The following is a 15494-nucleotide window of genomic DNA, read 5'->3' as shown; positions in this document are numbered from 1 at the left end:
GTTGTGTTTGTGGCTTAAGTGTGCTCAGAGGAGAGGGTGTCTAAAAATTCCCAGTTATCTTGCTGCCATCCTCAAGAGGAATGCCACATCCAAGCACCCAGCTGAAGCAGGACAATATGATTCCAACAAATGAGAGAATGAATGTGCACCAGGTGACTGCTCATGCAAGACAACAATCTCAGCAACAGTTCTATAATTGATGACATTACAAGACTAATAGGCTAAATCTTACAATAGCGCTCAGTCTATAGTCTAACATCACACCAATGCACAATTCCTGAAAGCATTTTCTAGAGACCCTGCAGATGCTTAGGTCACAGGCATTGCAGAACTACCTACTACCACTACCTTGCATTCCTGCAGAAGAAGCCCTTGCCTCCAGGCAAACCCAATTCAGCATCTACAAATCCCAGGATATGGAGGGAAGAAGAATGTGCAAGCGCTAGAATGGGAAGAACACCTGACCTGGTTTCAGGGATTTGGGATTCTCAAGCTGACTGCATGGCCAACGTGGATCACATGCTCATTCCAGGCAAACTAAGCAGAAGTGAGGTTATGGGATTGCCCCAGTCATTTGTGCATTTGTGCTCAGGTATCTCTTTTCAGAACATGTGGGTAAAGTGTGACTTTACCATAACCATGGACTGAAGATTACTAGTGTTGTGATCCAGGTTGCCTGAGAAATTCATGTCACTACACAGCGACCAGTAAGCATATGTTCTTCCCACCTATGTGGAAGCGACCTAGAATCCAAAGAGACTGCTCTGATGCTTGTTCTGTATGACGGTGTGGTATCATTTGGGCACAATTAGTGTCAATGTATCAATGCTGGCTATAGATATAGACGACATTTGTTTGCTGTTATCTAGCAGTTACAGCAGAGTATAGAAGAAGAAATCTCAATGCTCATGCCCATCATATTGGTCCAAATTTTTCTGAAACCTTGCAGGATGAAAACACAAGGAAGGAGAGCAGAGACAGAGCAGATCTCATTCCTGAGTGTGTATGTAGCAGTGAGTGGATCATGGAAGGCTTTGTGTAATAGGTAGAATTTTAACTGATGACTACAATTGACCCAGCATTATTATTATGATTGTACCCTCTGTAGATTTTGCCAGTCACTTAAATGTTTGTATTGGGCAAGGATTGGTAAATAGGATCTGGACTAATGGAAATGGCAGAAGAGATAATTTACAGTGGCTCTGTTAATAAAAGCACAGAGTTTTTTTAGGGAATGGTGAATAATTCACACCAGAGTTTTATTCCTTGTGTCACCCTGTGTATTTGGTCATGATGGCAAGATCCCTCTTAAATAGAATCACAAGACTGGAGTGCTCTGAATAATGAGCATCATCTTTCGTGACCTTGAAGTGATAGAGCTTGATGTTAGTTTTGTGATATTCATAGGAGTGAACTCTATAATAATGTAAAGTCCAGAGAGGGCCAGGCAAGTCAGGCCAACAGGACATGCCACAAAGTCAATGCCATGCTCTCCTTACCCTCCTCACTGGGATATGTCCAGCCCTCCAGGGTCAGAAGGCATAGATTAAAAAATTAAAAAATTAAAATAATAATAATAATAATAATAAAACACGTGGGGGTTAGAGGAGAAGAGAGAAGCAATGGAATGCAGCCCCTTTTCAGGAGCAGCATTTTTACCTGCAAAAGGCCCATATTGGGAGTAGGGGAGATAGTTAATCTTTGAATTAAATTCAACATTTTATTTGTCACATAAAAATTCAAATCTAAACTCTGCATAGCCTTGATATGGATGTCCAAAAATTCCTAATCAAATTCTGTGTCACTTTGCAACTCTTTTGTAATGTAATATTTATAGTGACTTGAAATTTAATATTCCTGTTTCAACATGCTGCTACACATGTGACAGAATAATACATACCAAACTCAGACATTCTGAAGTTGAAGAAAATTGTCATTCCCATTCCAGGTGTGCAGGCGCCCTTGCCTTCTTATCAAAGACATGTGTAATCATTGGTGAGAGTAAAGATGTAAGATTCAGCCTTAAATTGTATCTGTAAAATGTATGTATTTATTTTTAAGAGTTATTAGAAACAAATATGATAAAAATTTAATATGTGCTTAATTTTGTGTTGGGTGTATGAATGCTAATTATATTACCTTCTAGCCTATGTGCCTGGTTTGCAAGCTTCCTTCCAGCATACCCAATTTTCTCATTCTTGGTGACTTCAACATCCATAAAGATAGTCCATACAATGAAGAGGCATTTCAGTTGTTTTTAAGTTTTCATTCAGAATTAATTGTAGACTATGAAGAAGTTACTAAAACAGTACAGAGATTTCCTGTATGCCCATCACCCAACCTACAGCAATACTGACATGTTAAGTAAATGTAGCACCAAAACCAGAAAATTGACATTGGTACCATCTAATTATCTACACTACAAATCTTATGAGATTTCACCAAATATCTACAATACGATGTTATCAAATTTTACCAGTGTTTGCATGCACTTATTTTTGGAGTGAGGTATTCCTTCTACGTTTCATTCCACAATATTTCATCACAGGTGTAGATTCATAAACACAATCACATTGAATATAGAAGTGTTTCTTCACCACAGAAGAATTCCCTTGGGCTCCTCCTGCTGTCACACCCAAATTATGTTTCTTCCCAAACCCCTCTAATCACTGATCTATTCTTCATCTCTATAATTTTGTCATTTCAAAAGTGTTACATAAATGGAATCATACAGTATCTAATCTCTTGACTTTTTAAAATTCAGCATAATGTCCTCAAGATCCACCCAACTTTTTGCAGGTATAAATACCTTATAGCTGATTCATTTTTGAACTACTGAGTAGTGTTCCATTGTATGGATGTACTATGCTTTGTTTCACTAATCATGAGTGAAAGGACATTGCTGTTTCTTCTATTGTGGCATTTATAAATAAAACAACTATAAACATATATGTACAGATACTTAAGTGAACAAAGTTTTCCAGTTTATTGGATAAATTTAATGGCTGAATTGCTGGATTGTATGAAAATGCAAAAGGATTTTCCAGAGTACCTATACTATTTTGCTTTCTCACTGGCAGTGTATGAGACCTCCAATTCCTTCAAATCTCAGCCAGTATTTGAAACTATCAGTATTTTATATTTTAGCTATATTAAGAGGGTAGAATGGTATCTCATTGTAGTTTTTATTTATTGCCCTAAACATTAGTGATGTTGAGCATCTTTTTACGTGTTTATTTGTCATGCATATATGTCTTTGCTGAAGCATCTGTTCGTCTTTTGCCCTGGTTGAATCCAGCTCTCCACTAACTTCATGCCTGTTCCCATAGAACTGAGTGTGGCTGGAGCTCAACACACAACCATGCCCAGCGGTTTCACTGTACATTTATGACCTTGAACCTGAAATGTTCACTTATATCTCCTGAACAGTCATGTAACATTTCCGTAATTGCCTCTCACTCTCCAAAGGAAAATCTTCATGCCATCTCTCTCTTGAAACCTCCTACTTTTTATTTTTTTTAAATCTCTGTCAGGTGATGCTCTTCTGAGAATTACTCAATCTCCCCAGAGGGAACCTACCTGCCCATCTGCCTCTGAGCGCATCTCTCTGCATTTTCTCTCATGCCAGGAAATGGGCTCTGCAAATTCCTGTTTGAAACCACCCTTTCCATTTGTGAAGTTTCCCCTTTTGCCTCCCCAGAAACATTTTATAGCATTATTGCTTCTCCCTCCTGCATCTTCAATGTTTCCTTCTCTAATGGATCCTTCCACTGCAATTGAAACATCCCATCTTATTCTTGTTTACAACACCATCCAAGCCCCCATTCCCCTCTATCCACAGCCTGATTTGTCCTCTTTCCTTTAGAAAAAAAAATTTTTCCAAAGAGTTTTCTGCACTCATGTCTTCATTTTTTCATCCTTCCTCATATCTTCTCATATCTCTATCTCCCTCTCTTAGCTAGATCATTAAATTTATGTTTTTTGCTTGAAAATTTATTTGTGACATAGTAATAAAGTCAAAGCTTTCAAAAACAATCTTTAAATGCATGCGCTGAAAACTGTCATTCCCATTTGAGGTCCTCAGGCATCTTTGCCTTGTTAACAAAGACATATCCTGTTATACTTATTAATACGTTTATATTAATTCACAAATATTTAATAATAAAACAATATATATTTTTTGTCATACAATATATACATTGGCATGCATACTTTTTAAAAGAGCTAACAAATTCTGGAGGGCCTTTTATATCAGGTTTGTTGCTCTTTCTGTGCAGCTACAGAGTATTCTACTGCACAGATAGACAATAATTTATACAGTATTGATGGCCATTTTGGCTGTCACCAGTCTTTTACTGTAAATAACACTGCATTCATTAACTTAGTACATAGATCTTTTGAACATGCACAAATATATCTCTAAGATAAATTCCTAGATGAGGAATTACAGAGAGAAAAGGATGATACTTTATACCTGCTTACATATGTTGAAAATAGCCTTCACTGGAAGTTGTATCCATCTGCATCCTCAGCAGAAATGAGTGAGGAGGGTACCTGATCCCACTCCATCCCCACATGATAATCTATCAAACTTTATGGCCTTTTACATTTTGGTAAGTAAAATGTAACTCTCTAATTTTAATTGGCATGTCTTTTATTATGAGTTGCATTTCTCCTCTTTCCATATCTTTAGGAGCCATTTTTATTTTCTAGAAATTGTGAATCATGACTTAAAGTTATTTTCCTATTAGCTTTTTGGATTTTGAATTATTAATATCATTTTAGAAAATTTTTATCAATAGAGAAAATTTATACTTTGGCTATAACATACATTACCAAAAAATCTCCCAGTTTATTTATTTAATTTTATTAATTTATTAATTTATCTTTTGGGATGGAGTCTCGCTCTGTCACCCAGGCTGGAGTGCAGAGAGGCGCAATCTTAGCTTACTGCAACTTTCGCCTATCAGGTTCAATCCATTCTCTTGCTCAGCCTCTCGAGTAGCTGGGATTACAGGCATGCGCCACCACACTCGGCTAATTTTTGTATTTTTAGTAGAGACTAGGTTTCACCATGTTGGCCAGGTTGGTTTCATACTCCTGTCCTCAGGTGATCTGACCACCTCAGCCTTCCAAAGTGCTGGGATTACAGGGGTGTGCCACCATGACTGGCCACAGTTTATTTATATTTTGATTATGATGGTTCGTGTCATGCTAAAAATAGCTTTTGGTTTTTTGGGTATTTTTTGTTGTTGTCGTTGTTGTTTTGTTTGTCTTGTGAAAAGGTCTGGTCTTGTGACACTTGTGCTATCAACTGCACTCCAGTGCAGTGATGTGATGTCAGCTCACTGTGACCTCTGCAGCCTGGGCTCAAGCCGTCCTCCCACCACAATGTCCCGAGTAGCTGGGACTACAGACATGCACCACCACACCTGGCTAGTTTCTGTATTTTTTGTAGAGACAGGTTTTCACCATGTTGCCCAGGATGGTCTCAAACTTGTGAGCTCAAGCAATCCACTCACCTCGGCCTCCCAAAGTGCTGGGATTATAGAAGTGGGCCATCAGCTGGCATTCTTTTTGTCTTTTTTAATATTTTATTTAATGTCTTCTGAATTGTATCCTATAATTGAAAGTCTTTTTCCACTTTGATTTAAAAACTATTTGGCTATGGCTCCTCCAGGTAATTGTATTTTCTTTATAAAATTATAAGTAGTGTATTTGGATTTATCCTCAAATCATATATAAAGTATGTTTCCACCTTTATTTTATTTCTCATGGCAACTCAGTTGTCCTAATAGCATTCATTGAATAGTGCCTGTTTTACACACTACGTTGATATACAACCTTTATCATAATAAGCATACATTGAAGATATTGCAAGTCTTCTTCCATCACTGTAATACAGCAAATATTACAGTAAAGTGAATCACATGAATTTTTGGTGTCCCAGTACATGTAAAAGTTATGCTTATACTATATTGTAGTCTATTGAGTGCGCAATGACATTATGTCTAAAGCAATCTACATGCATTACTTAAAAAATCCTTTTTTACTAGGAAATGGTAACCATCATCAGAACCTTTATCAAGCCAAACGCTTTGCTGCTGGAGGGTCTTGCTTGATATTGATGGCTGCTGAAGTGGCTGCTGAAGGTAAGACAGGCTGTGCCAATATCTTAAAACAAGACAACAGTGAAGTTTGCCACGTCGATTGACTCATCCTTTTATGAAAGATTTTAATGTAGCATGCAATGCTGTTTGATAGCATTTTATACACAGTAGAACTTCTTTTAAAATGGAAGTCAGTTCTCTCAAACCTTGCCACTGTTTTTATCAAGCAAGTTGAATAAGATGGAATGTGATGGGAGAGGCTTATATATATTGGATATGGGACAGAGGCCAAGAATCATCTCAGGTAGGGTTTGTGTCTCCAATATCTCTGGCTGCTGATTTGTCCATAGTCCTCATACAAGAAATAACAAGTCTGTCCAGCATCTTCATAAGCCTGGATTGACCACCAGCTTTGACTCCAGCTCCTGTAGGCATCTCCTGAATTAAGCAACACAGAAGAGTCCTCTGAAGTCACTGAATCCCAGAAAGGCCCTCCACCTTTAGCACAAGGGAAGTCTTCACCTCTGGACAAAAGAGAAAAAGATAAGGGTAAGTACCAAGAACTGTCCTCTTCCATAGTCAGTTATGGCTTTTGCTATAAGATCGTTTCTGTGTTTCCACCTAGGTGCTACAAGCAGGGGATCATGAGCTTGTTTCAGGAAAAGACAAGAGACATGATGTTTCCTTCTGGAAACTGAGTGCTGCCAACTCAGACTGTGTTGAGCTTCAACTGGGATCCCGGCTTCTGATTTGTCTCCCCATATCACCTCCTTTATTCCAATCACTGAACCTATCCTCATGGAGAGAATGCTTCCTCTGACATTCATTTAAGGAGTTAGAGGACATGCAGGCATTGCTTCGCAGAGGTGAAATGCTGTAGAAGCAGGTTTTGTTGTTTTGCTTACTTTTCTAAATTTTTCTTCCTTGCCTGCCTGGAAAGGTTCAAGGAAGAAACAGACCGTCCCAACTGAAATGATTGAGGAGTGTTTCATGAGGGAAGTATTTATAAAGATGTGCAGGGTTAAGGGAAAGAGACAATGCATGGGTCAGCACTCTAAGCAGCAATACATAGCGGAGCACTAAGTCCTCCCCTAGGCTGAAAGGGACAGGGAAGGAGCAATTACCATTGTCGCCATAGCCATAGCTGTAGCAATAGGGGTGGGAGAGCACCAGCAGGCAGGTGGAGAAGCCTTGCATGGCCAACACACAGCCACACAGCCTGATAAGATTTGGATCTGTGTCCCCACCCAAATCTCATATTGATTGTAACTCCCAATATTGGAGGGAGGGCCTGGTGGGAGCTGATTAGATTTTGGGGACAGTTTCACATGAATGGTATAAACACCATCCCCCTTTGGTATCGCTGTAGTGATAGTGAGTGAGTTCTCATGAAATCTAGTTGTTTAAAAGTGTGTAGTGCCTCCCTCTCTCTCTGTATTTCTCTTGCTCTCACCGTGTGAGATGCCTCTCTCTCCCTTGGCCTTTCACCATGATTGGAAGCTTCCTGTGGCCTCCCCAGAAGCAGAAGCTGCTATGCTTCCTGCATAGCCTATACAGCAATGAGCCAATTAAACCTAGTTTCTTCATAAACTTGCCAGTCTCAGGTATTTCTTTATAGCAATGTGAGAATGAACTAATACCCAGGCAGAGAGCCAGGAGATGGAAATCTGAAGTTGCTCTCCTGCTGTCCTCCAGTCTCCTGCTGGTGTGGCGCAGTGTCACAATTCCACCAGAAGCTAGAATTAAAATGAATCCCACTGATGTGGGACATAAAAGCCACTCTCTTAGGATGTCAAACAGGATAGAGAAGAATGGAAAGCAAAACCTCATAGCAAATGAGACTATCACTCTCACCTTCTTCTATCCTCCTAATTACTGGGCATTCTCTGTCTAAAGGTGATTGATTTCTTTCTCATTTCAGCTCTATCAGACCACTTCAATGTTTGGCATATCTTTCTCTACTGTCACTTCTATGCAGAAATGTTTGCATTCATCAAAAATGCATAGAAAATAAAATGTAATCTAAAAAAGAGAGAACATATTTCTTTGGTTTAGAATATAATTTTGGTGGCTGTAATAAAGAATGAAGTAGAAATATCTTTAAAAAGAAGGTATAGTTGTGCCTCTAGGTCTCTAGATTCTGAATCTGCAGAGTCAACAAATCACAGGTGGAAACTATTTTAAAAATAAGGGTATGGCAGACGTGTGTATGTAGTGAACAGGTAGAAACTTGTTTTTCCTTGTCATTACTTCCAAAAAAAAGTATAGTAAAACAAGAATTAACATGGCAGTTGTATTTTGTCAGTTATTCTAAATAACTTAGAAATGATTTAATGTATCTGGGAGAAAGAGCATAGGGTGTGCACAAATATCGCATCTTTTTATGTAAGGAAATTGAGCATCTGCATATTTTGGTGTGTGCTGGGGTTCCGGAGCAAGAACCAGGGAATGCCCAGAGATGACTATCTGTGAGATCTGAGCTGGAAACTCCAAGACATCATATATCAGAATTCCAAAACTGCAACTCCCCAGTCCCCAGGGAGCTTCCCTCATCCTTGTGATCCTACATGGTTCACAGCCACATCAGCATTCCAGCGTGATGGAAAAGGATGAAGAAAAGGAGGTGCTTTGCTCTTTTGATTGATTCTATGAGCCAGGACTTGCTTACTTCACTTTTGTGCACCTTTCACTGAACAGCACCTGGTCATACAATGGCACCCAGCATCAAGGAAAACTGGAATGTGGGTCCTTGTGCTGCCTTTAGACTCGGTCGTGACCAAAGAGGAAAATCAACATTGGAGCAACCTAGCAGTTCCTTCAGCCCCTCACTGTCTCTGATTCTGTGCTCACATCAAGATTTTTTTCAGGAGCTCCTCTGAAATAATGAATGATGGGGCAGAGAACAGTACAGAAGTTTCATGCAGGGCTCCAGGGACCAGGGGCGGGTACTGGACCTACTCTTCTTGTTGTGATCACAGGAAAACACTTTACTAGTCTAGGCCACAGCTTCATCTTATGTTATATGAGGATAATACCACAGATGGTCTTTAAGGAACACAGGCTAAATGTTGGTGATACCACAGTGAAAAAGACAGGCACGACTTACTCCTTAATGGAGCTTCAAGTTTCATAAGGAAGACAAACATATCAAACCATAAATATAGATGGACAAAGTGTTTAGTGCCCTGAGTGTGGATAACAGAGGCTCTCCTTTTCCTCTCATTTCCTTTTCGGGTCAATCAGGGTGGTGGCAGCTTGTCTCTCTAAGAGAGCTCATGATGGATGCATTCACTCCTGATGCTCCTCTGTATTCCTAGAGGAGGGTGTGTCTCCTTTCCACCTGAAGAGTTCCTGCCCATGTGCATTCTTGGGATTCCAGAGCAAAGGTGGCCTCTGATAGGCAAAAAGGAACTCCTGAATTCATTCCTAAATGCCTTCACTCTCCTCTATATTGTTCCCTATTTGATTTGCTTCTCATTCTCTATCTGAAATTTGTTTAGGTTAGTTTTTTTTTTTCAACCCACAATTTTGCCTGCCAACTTGGATTTAATCTTAAGAATCACTCCTCTGCTTTACCCCCTCTAACATGTATAATCAACACAGAGTGGCACTGGGTGTAAAGGGCTGCTCCAAGACTGGATCATGAGTCAGCCCTGCTGGCCTCAAATCATACTATATAAGTCCCAGAACAAATAATTCACTCTTTTTGTGTACCAATGTATTATTGTCCATATGGGAATAACACTCATTCTTACCTGCTAGGCTCTTCAGATAATGAAAAGAGACAATATCTTAAACACTCTCAATCAGCTGCTGTTATTCTCCCAGATTAGACCCAGTCCTCATTCTCCAGTTGAAATCTGCATGAATATCTCTCTTTATACTCCAAGCCCTACATATCTCCTATTTCCCCTCATGGACTCCTCTCACACAAATGTTTACATCAACAAAGAAACAAACCAAAGATCTCCTGAAAGAGAGAATGAAACAGGTTTACATTGTGTATACCCAGCAGAACACTTAGTAGTCCCCCCATACATATTCCCACACTTCAGTTACCTGCTTCAGTGGCACTCAGACCTCACCCTCACTTACTCTTTCCTCTGCTCTATTGCTGAGCATTTCAGCTCAGACCCACAACCTACACAAATATTCTGTACAAAAATGCTTCTAGGTGTTCAGCAAAGCCACACTGAGTCCTCATTTCAAAGGCACATCAGTGGTCAATTTCAGGTTTGGGGCACACATCAGTAATTCTTTTTTAACACAGATAGAGCTGCCACAAATAGAATTCTGATGAATGAAATTTTCTGTACCTAATTAAACATGGGTGTTCTAATGCCTTACATTGTGCTTTAATTTTTATTTTCCATTTCACCCAAATCTACCATTATCATTAAGTTCCTCATGCATGCATTCATTCATTGAATGAATATTTATGAAGAGCACAGTGTGCTGCTCATGGAAATAGGTACTGGGAGTACAAAATGTAAAATGTGGTCCTGTCTGCAATGACTGACACACTGAGTTATTTCTCAACCACCAGGCCCAGCCATTTTCACACTTGTCCTAGTGAAGGTCACATTTTCCTCTGGTTCATAATGCATGGTCTTCTTTCTTGTCCATAGATGACCAGTCCTAGTCACGAGTGTGTCACAACCACTTCTTTGTGTATCTGAATTCCTCCACCTGAGAGAAAATTTCAGGCCCAGGATAAAGCAATGATCAGGTCCACAGCCCTGGCCACTTGAGTGGGGGTGTTTTGACCATAATGTTATTCCCATGTCAGCATAGAACTTGTGTGGCAATAGAGAGAGGTCAGGCTTTAGAGTCAGCAAGAACTGGATTTCAAACTGGATTTCAGGACCCCCACCTTTTGATAGGTAACTTATTCTCTGCACGTCTCTGATATCTCCTCTTAAAATGACGACAGTAAATCCCACGTGGCAGGGTGGTGCAGAGAATCAGAGATGATACAGCTGTTGATCACCTCTGGTTTGTGTTCCCAGGGACACCAGACTAGGGTTCCTGAGCGTGGATCCAACCATCCCAGCCTTGGGTACAGAACTGACACCAATCAATGGACGTGAGGAGACTCCTTGCTACAAGCAAACCCTGAGCCTCACAGGGCTGACGTGCATCGTTTCCCTTGTCGGGATGACAGGAAATGCAGTCGTGCTCTGGCTCCTGGGCTTCCGCATGCGCAGGAACGCCTTCTCCATCTACATCTTCAACCTGTCCATGGCCGACTTCCTCTTTCTCAGAAGCCACATTATACGTTTTCCGTTAAGCCTCATCAATATCCTCCATCCCATCTTCAAAATCCTCAGCCCTGTGATGATGTTTTCCTACCTTGCAAGCCTGAGCTTTCTAAGCGCCATGAGCACCGAGCGCTGCCTGTACGTCCTGTGGCCCATCTGGTAGCGCTGCCGCCCCCGCCCCTACACCTGTCAGCGGTCGTGTGTGTCATGCTCTGGGCCCTGTCTCTGCTGCGGAGCGTCCTGGAGTGGAGTTTCTGTGACTTCCTGTTTAGTGGTGCTGATTCTGTTTGGTGTTAAACATCAGATTTCATCATAGTAGGGGGGCTGATTTTTTTATGTGTGGCTCTCTGTGGTTCCAGCCTGGTCCTGCTGGTCAGGATCCTTTGTGGGTCCCGGAAGATGCCACTGACCAGGCTGTACGTGACCATCCTGCTCATAGCGCTGGTCTTCCTCCTCTGTGGCCTGCCCTTTGGCATTCGGTTTTTCCTATTTTCATGGAACCACGTGGATTTGGAAGTCTTATATTGTCACGTTCATCTAGTTTCCATTTTCCTTTCCTCTCTTAACGGCCAACCCCAACATTTACTTCTTCGTGGGCTCCTTTAGGCAGTGTCAAAATAGGCAGAACCTGAAGCTGGTTCTCCAGAGGGCTCTGCAGGACACGACTGAGGTGAATGAAGGTGGACGATGGCTTCCTGAGGAAACCCTGGAGCTGTCAGGAAGCAGATTTGGGCAGTGAGGAAGAGCCTCTGTCCTGTCAGATGGGACTTTGAGAGCAACACTGCCCTGCCATCCTTGACAATTGCATGTGTTTTTCTTAGCGTTGCACCTCAGGAATGTCTCAGTGGTTCCTCAGGGTCTTCAAATGGATTTTTATCTATCCTGACGGTTGCAGTTGTCAACCATAGAAAGCATTAGTCTGATAATACAATGTTTAGATTCTCCTTGATATTGCCAATCTATTTTTCCTGTTATCTTACATTGAATCTTTCTTGCTGAACACTTTTTCTGCAATTACCTGGTATTGAAAGGAATTCCTGTCCAAAACCTTAAAACTCTTCTTTATACTTTTTTCCTACCTGATTATATCAAAAGGGAGGATTCCTTATTAATCTCTCAGACTATGTTCCCCTGAAAATCATGTTCCCTTCAATGACTGGAGGCATTACCACAGTTGGAAGCTCGATTCTGAATAAATGAGTTCTGCTATCTCTATGTTCCATTGTATTTTCAGATATAGAGCAAAATAATGTACTTAGAGACAAACTCTCTCTTCATAAAAACAGTCTAGAAAATTGGTTTTATGAAAAGTTCTCTGCTGTAATTGTCCACAGCATGGTGACACGTGGCCTTGGTTTCTAGTAAAAACAACCATGGCCCCTTCCCTTTAAGACTTTGAGAACTGGTAAGTTTTTATTTAGCTCTTCCTGGACTAATAGACCAGTGAGGAGCTAATAAATATGCCCCACCAGTTCCATTTAGGCCACTGAAAACCTCAATATTGGTTTCAAAGTGGAAATTATCTTGAAAGCCATTTATTATTTACTTACAGATACTTTCAATTGTAGAATTCTTCATTCTTCCAGGTTTTGTACAAATTGTTCTGGGTGTAACTTTCAGGTAGTTTTACAGCTGTTAACAAGAGAAGCAAAACTGAACGTATCTGACCTTTCCATGCTAATGTCAATTATAGTATCTGGATAATAACTTACAGTTGGTATAGAATTCTAATACATGTTGTGACATAGATGAACCCGGAAACATTGTGCTAAGGGAAATAAGCCAGACCAAACAACAATATTGTAAGTTCAAATTTTATGAGGTATCGAAACTAGGAAATTTGTGAATACAGAAAGTAAATTAGAAGGATCCTGGTGCTGGATGACGGAGAGAATGTGTAGCCATTATTGAATGAGCACAGACTTTCTGTGTGGAATAATGCAAAGTTCTTAAAACCGACAGTGGTAACGGTTACAACTTATTTTGAATGTACTTAATGACACTGAATTGTACACTTTAAATCATTATAGTTAGAAAGTGTATGTTATGTATATTTTAACACAATTAAAAACAGTTAATTATAGAAATGGGATCAGTACAAAATTCAGGACTGTTCTCCACCAGTGGTTATCCCTTCTACAGATAACTCGAGCAGACAGAAGAGACCACCAAGAGAAGAAGAGACATCACAGCAGGCTCTGTGCTGCTCACAGACAGTGAGGCTGCCCCTCAGATTGGCCCTCACTGAGGGGAGCTGACAAGTGCAATTTGAGTATGCAGGAGACAGTACTAAGTAGCTATGAAAGCAATAAAGAGGTATATAGTTTTCAATTTGTCCAAACAAATTTATTGGTGGCTCCTATCACACTGTTCACAATGTTGAACTCAGGTCCCCTCAGTCCAGATCCATTGCTCTTCCAGGCCCAGCACTCTGCTGATGCTGAATCCCATCTGTCCACCCTCAATTTCCAAATGTTGTAGGAGGACATGGCTGTAGGTGAGGGTTTCCTACAGGTCGGAGGAAGCAGGAAACTGGTGTTTGCAGCCAATGCTCCAGGCCAAGAGCTTTGATTGGATGTCTTTAGTTCAGACCAAGGGTTATTGGGAGAGTCCACTCTGGGAGTCTGTGATATCAATTGTACAGTATTCGCTAAAGATGTTGTCTATCATTAGGAATTCTGTAGAGAATTTTCACCTGGCAATTGAATCAAAGAATGTTGTTTCTCATTTGGAAACCTGCTTATTTTGATGTTAGTGACATTCTTTTTCTTTTGACAGAAGAAAACTTCAGCTTCATGAAAGCTTAGATTCTGTCCCTGAAGCCCAATCCAAACTCACTTGACCTCAACATTGCTCAACTGCAGGACTTATAATAGTGTACTTGAATTATCTGTCCTCACTTCTTTCTCTTCAACTGCACTCTGAGGTCTTTTAAAGCAGGGATAGTCTTTGATTTTCTAGTGCAACAGATTAGGTGTGGAATTTAGAAGATGCTTGGTAAATATTTTTCTCAAGTAGCTCCCGCCTGTAAATCACAGGTTTATCCAACATCTTGCAAAGGCTAGCTGAGTCTCTAGTTCTCACTGGAACTCCTATAGGCACCTCCAACTTCATAGAGTGTCCTCTGCAGTTGGTTGTTCTGAGAACAGCTGTTCCCTTTCATTGCAGGTCTGTTCACTGCCTTTGGGAAGAAGAATGGAGGGGATGTGGGAGTCTGCTCATGAGCTGCCTTCTTTCCAAGGTCAATGATATCACTTCCTCTTGGTTTCATATCAAGGAGGAGCATGCAGGACATCCAGGAGTGTTCTCCAGAAAGTAAGAAAATACATGAAAGTCTGTTGGCACTTTTGGGAGCTGCCATTTATAACTATATTTTAGGCATGAATTCAACAAACATTGAATTCTAATTCATCAGGCACTGTGCTAGTTCTACATAAAAGCAACAGCTTTTAAATAACTCTCTCACTAATACACTTCTATGTCTATAACCAATCCTTTCCACTTCATGAAGAAAATATATTGATTGATGCCGAGCAAATGCTGAGCCTTCGTGGCCATTCACTGATGCTGTAGTACACCTGGGCACAAGAGCACTGAGTCATCACACTCGCAAGAACCAACTGGATCTGCTTCCTGTCCTGCTTTTGCCAATTAAACTTCTCAGTATAGTTACCTAATTTATCAAAATACAGCACAGATCAATGAAAAAAGAGTATGAAAGAAGAACTGCAGTTTCCATAAAAACTAATGTGAATGCTCAAATGGAAAATAAGAGCAGATTCCAAAATTATTGTTAGTTTAGTAGGTGTGAGTCTTTCAACTCTACAAGATTAAACAAAAATGAGAAATACAGAATGATTTGCTAGGACAGAATGCTATGTATCTGATGCTAAGATCTACACATAAACTAATCCAAACTGCAAATCATAGACGATGATTGATAGATATGCTTTCAGCCAGAGTAGAATTCTATTTTCTGAAATCTACACAAACAAATGTTCCACAGTCTAGTTCTATTATAGTGAATGAATTCTGGTAAAATTGAAATGTTCATATTACAAATGTATCATTTTTGTTAATACTGATTAACAGTCATTTTCAATTAATCTACGCACTTGCATTC

At 40.2% G+C, this 15494-nt stretch overlaps 1 pseudogene, besides 2 other annotated features; it reads left to right on the top strand.

The window, feature by feature from the left end:
* Positions 9158–9707: an enhancer, noted in NCBI's record as "NANOG hESC enhancer chr11:18979998-18980547 (GRCh37/hg19 assembly coordinates)". NCBI's record gives its function as "activates a minimal SCP1, AML or CMV promoter by ChIP-STARR-seq in primed H9 embryonic stem cells {active_cell/tissue: H9 hESC(primed)}" and the evidence as "EXISTENCE:reporter gene assay evidence [ECO:0000049][PMID:30033119]".
* Positions 10926–12113, top strand: MRGPRX11P (MAS related GPR family member X11, pseudogene; annotated as a pseudogene).
* Positions 11777–12277: an enhancer, noted in NCBI's record as "H3K27ac hESC enhancer chr11:18977428-18977928 (GRCh37/hg19 assembly coordinates)". NCBI's record gives its function as "activates a minimal SCP1, AML or CMV promoter by ChIP-STARR-seq in primed H9 embryonic stem cells {active_cell/tissue: H9 hESC(primed)}" and the evidence as "EXISTENCE:reporter gene assay evidence [ECO:0000049][PMID:30033119]".

Source organism: Homo sapiens, chromosome 11, assembly GCF_000001405.40.
Source record: "Homo sapiens chromosome 11, GRCh38.p14 Primary Assembly".
NCBI classification, from domain to species: Eukaryota; Metazoa; Chordata; class Mammalia; order Primates; family Hominidae; genus Homo; species Homo sapiens.
Note: the sequence above shows the minus strand (reverse complement) of the source record. Positions and strands in the feature narration are given on the sequence as shown.